General features: G+C 39.1%; 2 long non-coding RNA genes across 2 annotated transcripts in view; both read right to left on the bottom strand.

The window, feature by feature from the left end:
* The window catches only part of PM20D1-AS1 (PM20D1 antisense RNA 1), a 34009-nt gene extending 28165 nt beyond the window's left edge, over positions 1-5844 (bottom strand). Inside the window, exon 1 of the long non-coding RNA NR_046097.1 lies at positions 5325-5844. This is a non-coding gene — a long non-coding RNA (PM20D1 antisense RNA 1). The remainder of the gene's footprint in view (positions 1-5324) is intronic.
* A 3455-nt stretch (positions 5845-9299) lies between these two features.
* LOC107985250 (uncharacterized) lies at positions 9300-13168 on the bottom strand. The gene is made up of 2 exons (XR_001738417.2): positions 10344-13168; positions 9300-9780 (listed from the first exon to the last, which is right to left on the bottom strand). It is a non-coding gene; the product is annotated as an uncharacterized LOC107985250 (long non-coding RNA).

Below are 13168 nucleotides of genomic sequence, written 5' to 3'. Positions count from 1 at the left end.
GCTAAATGATGAGTTAATGGGTGCAGCACACCAGCATGGCACATGTATACATATGTAACTAACCTGCACATTATGCACATGTACCCTAAAACTTAAAGTATAATAATAATAAAATTTAAAAAAATAAAAATAAAACATAAAAAAATATAAAAAAAAAACAGAAAAAAAAGAAAATGAATGAAACACTCAAATGACATCTAAAAACGCTAACCCAACAAACCCACCTTGCATGGCCTGCTGTGTTGCCTATAGCCTTACTAAGAATCCGAAACTTTCCCCAGAAAGCAGGACTTAGCCCATACGAGATGTTGTATGGACAGCCCTTCCTAACCAATGACCTTGTGCTTTACCGAGAGACTGCCAACTTAGTTGCAGACATCACCTCCTTAGCCAAATATCAACAAGTTCTTAAAACACTACAGGGAACCTGTCCCCGAGAGGAGGGAAAGGAATTATTCCACCCCGGTGACATGGTATTAGTCAAGTCCCTTCCTTCTAATTCCCCATCCCTAGACACATCCTGGGATGGACACTACCCAGTCATTTTATCTACCCCAACCACAGTTAAAGTGGTTGGAGTGGAGTCTTGGATACATCACACTTGAGTCAAACCCTGGATACTGCCAAAGGAACCTGAAAATCCAGGAGACAATGCTAGCTATTCTTGTGAACCTCTAGAGGATCTGCGCCTGCTCTTCAAGCAACAACCGTGAGGAAAGTAACTAGAATCATAGATCCCCATGACCCTCCCTTGTCATATTTTTCTTTTTACTGTTCTCTTACCCTCTTTCATGCTCACTGCACCTCCTCTATGCCGCTGTACTACCAGTAGTTCCCCTTACCAAGAGCTTCTATGGAGAATGCGGCTTCCCGGAAATATTGATGCCCCATTGTATAGGAGTTTTTCTAAAGGAAACCCCACTTTCACCACCCACACCCATATGCCCCTGCACTTCAGGCCATACATTTCAATCCGTGTATCTTTAACCTCCTTGTTAAGTTTGTCTCTTCCAGAATCGAAGCTGTAAAACTACAAATGGTTCTTCAAATGGAGCCCCAGATACAGTCCATGACTAAGATCTACTGCAGACCCCTGGACCAGCCTACTAGCCCATGCTCCGATGTTGATGACATCAAAGGCACCCCTCCTGAGGAACTCTCAACTGCACGACCCCTACTACACCCAAATTCAGCAGGAAGCAGAGCAGTCATCAGCCAACCTCCCCAACAGCACTTGGGTTTTCCTGTTGAGAGGGGGACTGAGAGACAGGACTAGCTGGACTTCCTAGGCCAACTAAGAATTCCTAAGCCTAGCTGGAGAAGGTGATCACACCCACCTTTAAGCACTGGGCTTGTAACTCAGCTCACACCCGACCAATCAGGTAGTAAAGAGGGCTCACTAAAATACAAATTAGACTAAAAGCAGGAGGTAAAGAAATAGTCAAATCATCTATCATCTGAGAGCACAGGGGGAGCAAAAATGATTTGGATATAAACCCCAGGTATTCGAGCCAGGAGTGGGCAACCCCCTTTGGGTCCCCTCCTTTTGTATGGGAGCTCTGTTTTCACTCTATTAAATCTTGCAACTGCAAAATAAAAAATTTTAAAAAGTGCACCAAAAATATGTAAAATATCTTATATCAATAAAAAATAAAATAAAATAAAAACTTTTGGAAAGCAAAATTATGGCTAGATAAGAGGAAAAAGTACTAGTATTTGATACCAAGGATCCCCAACCCCTGGGCCACAGACTGGTACTGGTATGTGGCCTGTTAGGAACCAGACCACACAGCAGGAGGTGAGCAGCAGGTGAGTGAGCAGCCCCCTGTCAGATCAGTGGGGTCATGAGATTCTCGTAGGAGTGCGAACCCTATAGTGAACTGTGCATGCAAGAGATCTAGGTTGCATGCTGCTTGTAAGAATCTAACTGATGATCTAAGGTGAAACCGTTTCACCCCGAAACCATTCCCCCTCCCCCACCCATTTTTGTCTTCCACCAGACTGGTCCCTGGTGCCAACAAGGTTGGAGACCACTGTTCTATAGCACTGTAGGAAGACTATAGTTAACAATAACGCGTTATATAGTTTCAAGTAACTAAAAGGAAGCTATTGAACGTTCCCAACACTAAGAAATGACAAATGTTTGAGATTATTGATATGCTAATATCCCTGATCTGATCACTATATATTATATGTATCAAAACATCACTATGTGGCCGGGCACGGTGGCTCACGCCTATAAACCCAGCACTTTGGGAGGCCAAGGCAGGCGGATCACTTGAGGTCAGGAGTTCAAGGCCAGCCTGGGCAACTTTGTGAAAATCTCTGCTGAAAACACAAAAGTTAGCCAGGTGTGGTGGTGTGTGCCTGTAGTCCCAGCCACTTGGGAGAATGAGGCAGGAGAATCGCTTGAACCTGGGAGGCAGAGGTTGCAGTGAGCTGAGATTGCACCACTGCACTCCAGCCTGGGTGACAGAGGGAGACTCTGTCTCAAAAAAAAAAAAAAAAAAAAGAATAATACTCTCCAACTCCATCCAGGTTGCTGCTAATGCCATTATTCTGTTCCTTTTTATGCCTAAGTAGTATTCCATGGTGTGTGTGTGTGGGTATAATATATATATATTACATTTTCTTTATCCACTCATTGCTTGATGGGCATTTAGACTGGTTCCATATTTTTGCAATTGCGAATTGTGCCACTATAAACATGCGTGTGCAAATGCCTTTTTCATATAATGACTTATTTTCCTCTGGGTAGATACCCAGGAGTGGGATTGCTGGATAGAATGGTAGATCTACTTTTCATTCTTTAAGTAATCTCCATACTGATTTCCATAGTGGTTGAACTAGTTTACATTCCTACCAGCCATATAAAAGTGATCCCTTTTCACCACATCCATGCCAACATCTGTGTTTTTAAATTATGGCCATTCTTGCAAAAGTAAAATAGTATCTCCTTGTGGTTTAGATTTGCATTTCCCTAATAATTAGTGATGTTGAGCATTTTCTCATATGTTTGTTGGCCACTTGTATATCTTCTTATGAATTGTCTGTTCATGTCCTTTACCCACTTTTTAATGAAATTATGTGATTTTTTTCTTGCTGATTTACAGAACAAACACAATACAAGTGTTTTTTCTTGCTAATTGTTTGAATTCCTTGTAGATTCTGGATATTAGTCCATTGTCAGATACATAGCTTGCAAATATTTTCTCCCACCCTGTGGGTTGTCTGTTTGCTCTGCTGATTATTTCTTTTGCTATGCAGAAGCTTTTCAGCTTAATTAGGTCCCATCTATTTATCTTCCTTTTTATTGCATTTGCTTTTGGGTTCTTGGTCATGAACTTTTTGCCTAAACCAATGTCTAGAAGAGTTTTTCCAATGTTATTTTCTAGAATTGTTATGGTTTCAGGTCTTAGAGTTAAGACTTTGACCCATTTTGAGTTGATTTTTGTATAAAGTGAGAGACGAGGATCCAGCTTCATTTTTCTACATGTGGCTTGCCAATTATCCCTGCACTATTTGTGGAATAGGGTGTCCTTTCCCCACTTTATGTTTTTGTTTGCTTTGTCAGAGATCAGTTGGCTGTAAATATTTGGCTTTGTTTCTGGGTTCTCTATTCTGTTCCATTGGAACAGAACACATGCCTATTTTAATACCAGTACCATGCTTTATTGGTAACTATAGCTGGGCGCTTGTCTCCCTTTTCTTTTTTGCAAAACCGCCACAGCTATCATTGCTTGCTCTCAGTGGTGGCTTTCTCTCCAGAGGTGGCTTCCGCATCTACAGACTATATAAAGACAAACAACACAGATTAAAAGCACAATCATTGAAATCACAGAGCCTCCAAGTGTCTTGATCCATTTTAGCAGGTTAATAGCTGCTAATCCGTCTGTAGCTCCTTCAAGCACTTCAGTTCCTGGCATTAGTGTCAGATGTATCTGAGAGGCTTGAAATACTTGTTCCTTTAGCTTTGCAATATCCAAAGATAAATTTCTAGTATGACCTTTTAAATATCTCTTAACTTTTTCCCACTCATGCTCTGTTTCATTACACAGATGAGGAGTAATGCAAAAATCAGAGGTATTTCAATCACATTGTAACTGCATTCTATATTCTAAACTAACTATATGATCTCCTAGCCACATTACAGTTTGTTGGAGATCATTAATTTGATCAGCTAGTTTCTGGTCTATATTATTTTGGTAATTCCACAGCAGAGTAGAATTTTTCTACCAATTATTTACATAGTCTGCTGTTTGTACTGTGGAATGCAAAGCAACTCCAGCTACTGCAGCAGTAGCTGTGACAGCAATCAATCCCATAATAATGAAAATTAAAGTAGCAATGAAATGCCGTGAGTGCCTCAAAATCTTTTGAAGAATTTCAGTAATAATATGCACAGAAGGAGAGGCTTCCCAGGGATGGGAAAGCTTCTCAGGTATCCATACTCCTTCTTGGGCTCTTACCATTAAAATAGAATGATCAGTGTTATATAAGGAAGAATTCACACAAGAAGACAATCTACATTATTGACAAGTCACATGATGATTAAAGAGATCAAGTTTTAAATCACCCACTACAAACAGGAAAGGTGATGGACACAACTCTGTATCCAGACTGAATCATTGTGAGCCAATTTTAACATGTAATTAGGATTATATTGGGTTGGCTTAGTATATTTCCCTTTCCAAATCTTTATCATTTTTTAGTGCTGTTAATATTTTCCATAATTCCTTATGTTTTGCCCCTACAGCAGGCCATATCGTTTGGGGCTGAGGTACCACTATACCACCACATGCCCAAATAATAGGATCTCTTGCTGTACTTCTTATAGTGTCCACCATCTGATTATTTTGTTTAGATGCAGGGTGACCATTACTTACAGATTGAGAGGTGAGCCTCATAAATGCCCCTTTAGGGGACCAATCAATAATGACTCCATATGAATCATTATGCAACACCTCTGCTTTCCATGTGACACAATCTTCCCAAGCAAATGCCTTCATTTTTTCTGACCATGTCTAGTCCACTTTACAGATAGGTTTCTGAGGGTGGTAAACTTCAGTTACAGAAGCATAATCATGGTGATAAATACTAAGACCAGAAAGCATATGTAATTGTGCTATGGAGATGTTACGTTCAGGCACTATTGCCAGCCAAGATTGATGACTGGGAGGTGAACACCCATTAGCTTTTCCTAACCAAATAGGTAAATGCTTAAATCCCAATGAGACGTTCATAATTGTTCCTTCCTCTTGGGGGTGAGATGGGCCTCTATCATCAGTAGAACCAGGCATCCAAAAACTATCATTAGTGTATACCTCCATTGGTCTTCTCCTTTGTCTCTGAGATGTTCATTTGTACCATCACTCATATCAGGAGCTCTGGCTCTTCCCAGAGCCCTCTCTTCCTGGTGTGGCTCATGATAGATCTCCAGATGTTTGGTGGGCACCCACACAGGTGCCTGATTGTTACCTGGAGAGACACAAGAAAATCCTCTTCCCCATATAATTATCCGCCCTTTGATTAAATTTAGTTAAAGGGCCAGGGAAGTTAGTATGTGCTCTCATATGAGTGCATAGAAAGGGGAATGCCTTTGTTGTACTGCTTGCTGTAGAGAATGAAATAAAACATTAAGTTGGTCTTTAGTCACATTTTGAATTAAGGCATGTTCAATATTTTGTGTGGCTTGCACTACATAGGCTGAACCAGAAACAATGTTTACTGGCTATTTAAAAGTTTTTAACACTGTTATCACAGCCATAAGTTCAGCCCTTTGAGCAGAAGCAAAGTCAGTTTGAAAAACTTGTTGAGGTCCCACAAATGAGGCCTTTCCATTACTAGATCCATCAGTAAAAACAGTAATGGCCCTTTCAATAGGGGTTTTTTGAGTAATGGAAAGCAATATCCATGATGTCAATTTAAGAAATTGGAATATTTTGGATTTAGGATAATGATTATCAAGAACACCAGTAAAACCTGCCATATTAATTTGCCATTCCTGGGAATTAATATAAGCCTGCTGAATTTGTTGTTTGTCTAATGGAACTATAATTTTATTTGGATTATATCCCATTAACTTTGTTGTGCGCAGCCTTGCTTGTCCTACTAGTACAGCAATTTAAGTACAGAGTGAGCATTTTAGTTGTATTGTGAGGTAGAAAAAGCCACTCAACCAAAGCATCCTGTTGAACAATAACACCTGTTGGTGAATGTTTAGTAGGAAAAACTAAAAACTGTAATGGCTGCATAGGGTTAATTAGAGTCACTTGTGCCTATTGAATTTTTTCTTCAATTAATTGAAGTTCTTCTAATGCCTCTTTGGACAGGGACCATTTGCAGTTAAGATCAGAATCACCTCGTAAGGTAGAAAAGAGGTGAGACATAGCATAAGTAGGAATGCCTAAAGTAGGATGAATCCAATTAATGTCTTCTAATAATTTTTGAAAATCATTTAGAGTTTTTAAATTATCCCTTCTAATTTGAACTTTTTGAGGCTTAATAGTACTTTATTCTACTTTCATTCCTAAATATTGAAAGGGAGTAGAAGTTTGAATTTTATCGGGGGCTATGATTAACCCTGCTGCAGTCACAGCCTTTTCTAACTGTTTGTAACATAGCATTAACTCCTCTCTAGTTTCAGCTGCACATAAAATATTATCCATGTAATGTATGATATAACATTTTTAAAATTGTTCTCTAACTGGCTTAATAGCTTTTCCAACATAAGTTTGACAAATAGTCGGGCTATTTAACATGCCTTGTGGCAGTACTTTCCAATGGTATCTGTCCACTGGTTCTTTGTTATTTATAGCAGGAACAGTAAAAGCAAATTTTTCATAATCTTGGGCAACTAAAGGAATGGTAAAGAAGTGATCTTTTAAATCTGTCACTATGAGAGGCCAGTATTTTGGGATCATTGTTGGAGAAGGCAGCCCTGGTTGCAGTGCACCCATGGGTTGAATTACAGCATTGACAGTCCTCAAATCTATTAACATTCTCCATTCCCCTGATTTTTTCTTAATAACAAACACAGGAGAATTCCAAGGGGAGAGAGCAGGCTCTATGTGTCCCTTTTGCAATTGTTCTTGTATCAATTCTTTTAAAGCCTCCAGTTTTTCCTGTTTCAGCGGCCATTGCTCCACCCAAACCAGTTTGGCAGTTAACCAAACAAGAGGAATGGGACCCGGAGGCTCAGCAATGGCCACCCCTAAAAATGATACCCTAATCCAGTTGTATCTGTTTGCCCTTTTAGTTCTAAAGGTTCTGTTTGGCCATTTTCATTTTTTCCCAGTCCCTTCCCTGGGAGATATCCCATTTTTCTCATCATTTGATTACTGTTATCACTATACTGATCCATAGGAATAGATATTTCAGCACCCCATTGTTGTAATAAGTTTCTACCCCATAGATTTACAGGAATAGGTGTAATAATAGGTTGAATTGTCCCTTCTTGGCCATCTGGCCCCTGGCATGGCAAAATTAAAGAACTTTGAAAAATTTCTGAGGCAGCCCCTACTCCAACAATACCAATGGATGCCTTTTGTTTTGGTCAATGTTGGGGCCATTGATTTAAACCAATAATAGAAACATCAGCTCCAGTATGTACTAGCCCCTCAAAATCTTTTCCTTGAATGGTTACTGTACAAATAGGTCTTTTGTCAGACACTTGATTAACCCAATATATAGCTTTTCCTGCTGGGTTAGTACTACCAAAGCCTCCTGTTCCTTTTACTGTAGTACTTCCTAGCTTTGTATAAGGTAACAGTAACAACTGAGCAATTCTTTCCCCTGGGGAAGCAGACCATGGAATTGAGGAACTAATAACTAACTGAATCTCTCAGGTATAATCAGAATCAATTATTCCTGTATGTACAGTGACACTTCTTAAATTTAAACTAGACCTTCCAAGCAATAGACCAACTGTTCCTGAGGGTAAAGGGCCCCTAACTCCCATGAGGACCTTCTTTGGTGGCTCCCCAGGAAGTAAGGAAATGGGAACTGTGCTACAAAGATCTACACAGTACTGCCTGCTGTGGTGGGATACAATTGTTGTACTTTTGTAAGGGCACTGGCTGTGCCAGATATGCCTCAGTTTGTTGAGGGGCCCGAGGTGGGCCCCTCTTCCCGTTTCCCAAAAGAGGTTGCCCATCTTTGCTAAATTTAGGATGACACTGATTTGCCCAGTGATTGCCTTTCTTACACCAGGGGCATACACCGGAACTTTTCTGTTGATTGATGGTAATAGTTTTTGCCTTTTGATTTCCTTTTCTACATTCCTTTTTTTGTGTGTCCAAATTGCCCACAATTAAAACAAGAGCCTGAGAAATGGGGCATATTTTTTCCCACCTTTAATCCAGCCATAGCTTGAGCTAAAAGAGTAGCCTTATGTAAATTACCCGCAATGCCATCACAAGCCTTAATATATTCAGCCAAATGAGGCTTCCCTTGCATAGGTCTAATGGCAGCTTGACACTCTGCATTAGCATTATCATATGCAAGAAGTTGTATTACCATGTCTTGAGCTGTTTTATCAGTTACAGCTTTACGCACAGCCTCTTGGAGCTGAGCAATAAAGTCAGTATATGGTTCTTTAGGTCCTTGTCGGACAGAACATCCCGATGGCAACATCCTCCATTACTGCTTAATTGTCTAATCATCCCCAATTAGGGCCCAACTCCATTAACCATTCAAAGGAAACAAGCACAGGTGGCTGTGTTTGTGTGTTTTCTCTTGCCTGAGTTTGAGCTTCATCAGCCCACCAGGTTTTAAACTGCAGGTACTGAGATGGAGTGAGAACAGACTTTGTTAAAGTATCCCAGTCATATGGTATTAATCTATTATCAAGAGCCACATTTTTTAGTAAAGTTTGTACAAAAGGAGAATTTGGCCCATATTGACTAATGGCTTGCTTGAATTCCTTTAACAACTTAAAAGGAAAGGTGGTCCAATTAGTTATATTCTGTCCTCCTTGCTGGATTATAGTAATGGGAAATTGCCATGCATCTAGGTCTCCTTCAGCTCTAACCTTCTGAATAGAATTTTGTATAGCATCACCAATTCCTCCAGGTTTTAATGTTGCAGCTACCAGAGCAGTAAGTTTTGCAGCTAATTCATTTTCTCGACCATTAGGGGGAGAGGAAGGAAGTGGCCATTCACTTAATTCAGCAGGTGGAACCAACGGGCTACTAAAATATATCTGTTTTAGTTTTCCTTTCTTTAATTTCCTCTGGTTGCTGTTCCCCACATTCAGAATCTGAAGTTAATTTTTTACACTCGTTTTCCTCTTCCTTATCTGAATCTGCCTCATCATTTGTTTGAAATGGCTCAAGACCTGCCTTTATCAATGCCCACACTGACCAAAAAGAAACTGGAATTTTGGCTCCTTCTTTATGCACCTTTTTTAGATCTCTGCCAATTCTTTCCCATTCATCGAACTCCATTGTCCCTTGTTCTAGGAACCACAGGCAAAACTGCTCCACTGTACTAAAGAGTGTTAATAAATTCTGAGTACTAACTTTCACTCCCCCTCTCCATAATAAATGCCTTAGAAAGTTTAAACAAGCAGAATGTTTACTTTCATTTTGTCCCATTGTTACCTTGGTTCTTCAGAGTGCCCAGCTTACCCACCAAGCTTCTTTCAGCCATCCTCGGGTGTCCTTTGATGATATGTCCTTCATTTCCATATACTCTAGCATTTCTTTACCATGGTCTTCATAGCCCCACGTTGGGTGCCTGAAATTTTGGGGTGATCAGGCCCAACACCAGGCCATCAGGCTACAAAGTCCGGTGGGGTGAAAGAAATGAGAAAAGACAAGTTAAAAGTGCATAAATTGGGTCCAGGGGGCCAACACTAGATTGGAGGCTGCGAAGGCCCTGAGCTCTGGGAGCCCACACTATTTATTGGAGACCAAACAAAGAAGCAGATGGTGAGGACGTGCAGATGTGGGGGTAAAGAGGTGAGGGCATGAGGACGTGGGGGTAGAAAGGTAGTGGTGCATTAAGCGTAGCTGTGATGGTTTAGCATTTTCTTTGATGCATATAGAATATGCTCTGCTGCTTGAGATAATGGAGGACATGTTTACAAGTAAGAAGCAAGGAACCAACAAGTCTGTGCACATTCCAGAGGCTACAAGGGGGTTTATGCCCTGAGCCCCGGATTCCATACAAGCCACAAGGGGTTTTATGCCCTGGGCTTAGATTTTGGCATGTCAGGGCAGCCTTCCACCCTTTGGCATAGAGCTTGGTGTTCCAAAGGCCACGAAGGGTTTTAGACCCTGGACCCCAGACATCTTCCAAGACTCTTTTACATTATGACAGACAAGCTAGTCCTGCCTCACCTCTTCTACCAGCATTGTTGTATAGTTTGAAGTCTGGTAATGTGATGCCTCCAGATTTCTTCTTTTTGTTTAGTCTTGCTTTGGCTATGCAGGCTCATTTTTGGTTCCATATGAATTTTAATATTTGTTTTAGTTCTGTGAAGAATGATGATGGTATTTTGATGGGAATTGCATTGAATTTGTAGATTGCTTTTGGTAGTATGCTCATTTTCACAATATTGTTTCTACCCATTTGTGAGCATAGGATATGTTTCCATTTGTTTGTATCATCTATGATTTCTTTCAGCAGTTTTTTGTAGTTTTCCTTGTAGAGATCTTCCACCTCCTTGGTTAGGTATATTCCTAAGTATTTAATTTTGTTGCAGCTGTTGTAAAAGGGGTTGAGTTCTTGATTTGATTATTAGTTTGGTTGTTGGTGTTGTATAGCCGTACTCCTGATTTGTGTACATTGTTTTTGTATCCTGAAACTTTACTGAATTCATTTACCACATCTAGGAGCTTTCTGGATGGGTCTTTAGGGTCTTCTAGGTATACAATTATGTCATCATATCATGTCATTATATCAGTGAATAGTGACAGTTTGACTTTCTCTTTTGCAATTTGGATGTCCTTTATTTCTTTCTCTTGTCCGATTTCTCTGGCTAGGACTTCCAGTACAATATTGAGTAGCAGTGGTGAAAGTAAGAATCCTTTTCTTGTTCCAGTTCTCAGAGGGAATGCTTTCAACTTTTCTCCATTCACTATAATGTCAGCTGTGTGTTTGTCATAGATGGCTTTTATTACTTTGAGTTATGTCCCTTCTATGCTGACTTTGCTGGTGGCTTTCATCATAAAGTGATGCTGGATTTTGGCAAATGCTTTTTCTGCATCCATTGAGATGATCATATAATTTCTGTTCTTAATTCTGCTTATGTGATGTATTACATTTATTGACTTGTGTATGTTAAACCATCCATGCATTCCTGGCATGAAATCCACTTGATCATGGTGTATTATCTTTTTGATATGCTGTTGGGTTCAGTTAGCTAGTATTTTGTTGAGGATTTTCACATCTATGTTCACCAGGGATATTGGTCTGTAGTTTTCTTGTTTTATTATGTCCTTTTCTTGTTTTGCTATTAGGGTGATACTGGCTTCATAGAATGACTTAGGGAGGATTCCCTCTTTCTCTATCTTATGGAATAATTTCAGTAAGATTGGTACCAATTCTTCTTTGAATGCCTGATAGAATTCAGCTGTGTAACCATCTGATCCTGGGCTTTATTTTGTTGGCAATTTTTTAATTACCATTTCAATCTCACTACTTGTTATTGGTTTGTTCAGAGTTTCTATTTCTTCCTGATTTAATCTAGTAGGGTTGCATATTCCCAGGAATTTATCCATCTCCTCTAGATTTTCTAGTTTGTGTGCATAAAGGTGTTCATAGTAGCCTTAAATGATCTTTTGTATTTCTATGGTATCAGTTGTAATATCTTCTGTTTCATTTCTAATTGAGCTTATTTGGATCTTCTCTCTGTTCTTGGTTAATCTCACTAATGGTCTATCAATTTTTTTTATCTTTTCAAAGAACCATCTTTTTGCTTCATTTATCTTTTGTATTGTTTTTTGTTTGTTTGTTTCAATTTCATTTAGTTCTGCTCTGACTTTTGTTATTTATTTTCTTCTGCTGGTTTTGGGTTTGGTTTGTTCTTGTTTCTCTAGTTCCTTGAGGTGTGATCTTAGGTTCTCTATTTGTGTTCTTTCAGACTTTTTGATGTAGGCATTTAATGCTATGAAATGTCGTCTTAGCACCACTTTTGCTGTATCCCAGAGGTTTTAACATGTTCTGTCACTATTATCATTCAGTTCAAAGAATTTTTTAATTTCCATTTTTATTTCATTGTTGATCCAAAGATCATTCAGGAGCAGATTATTTAATTTCCACATATTTGTATAGTCTTGAGGGTTCCTTTTAGAGTTAATTTCCAATTTTATTCCACTGTAGTCTGAGAGAGTACTTGATATAATTTTGATTTTCTTAAATTTATTGAGATTTGTTTTGTGGCCGATCAAATGGTCTATCTTGGAGAATGTTCCATGTGCTGATGAAAAAAATGTATATTCTGAATTGTTAGGTAGAATAGTCTGTAAATATCAGTTAAGTCCATTTGTTCTAGGGTATAGTTTAAGTTCATTGCACTCCAGCGTGGGTGAAAAGAGCAAAACTCAATCTCAAAAAAAAAAGACTCACTACTAAGATGGTCAATATCTCAAGCTCAGGCTTGGTCAGACCTATAACATGCTATCACAAGTATGTGTTAAAGGGCTATGCAGATGAGGGATGCATTAAATTTTGACCATAGGAGGCCTCATTAACCAAATTATATTAAATTATTATATTAAATTAGTAGGCCTCATTAACCAAATTATATTTAAATATTATATTAAAAAGTTCAGAGACATTTTTCTTTTTAAAAAGCCACACATCTAGTGTATGTGTTATGTGAACACAGATTATTCTGTTTAGCACAAGGTGCTTCTGCATGCAGGTGTAGATGTTCCCAGGGTCAATTATTCAAGTGACCTTAGCTACATAGGAGAAATAAATTTTATCTGTCTCTGGGCTTTTTGGAAGAATTCACATATAATTCTGTGGATACCCAAAAACTGAAGAAGAATATGGTTTTATCTTGTCACTTAGCTTATCTAGTTTACTGTCACTATACATTTCCTTTCCTATGTTTGTCTCCTATTTAGTAAAGACTTCCAGCCTTTTCAGCCTGGCCTCAGCTTGGCTACTGGGCATTAATCCCTGAGCCACTCATTTTTGTTTTTTCCTTCCTTCC

Source organism: Homo sapiens, chromosome 1, assembly GCF_000001405.40.
Source record: "Homo sapiens chromosome 1, GRCh38.p14 Primary Assembly".
NCBI lineage: Eukaryota > Metazoa > Chordata > Mammalia > Primates > Hominidae > Homo > Homo sapiens.
The sequence above is the reverse complement of the archived record's forward strand: the minus strand, read 5'-3'. Positions and strand labels throughout refer to the sequence as shown.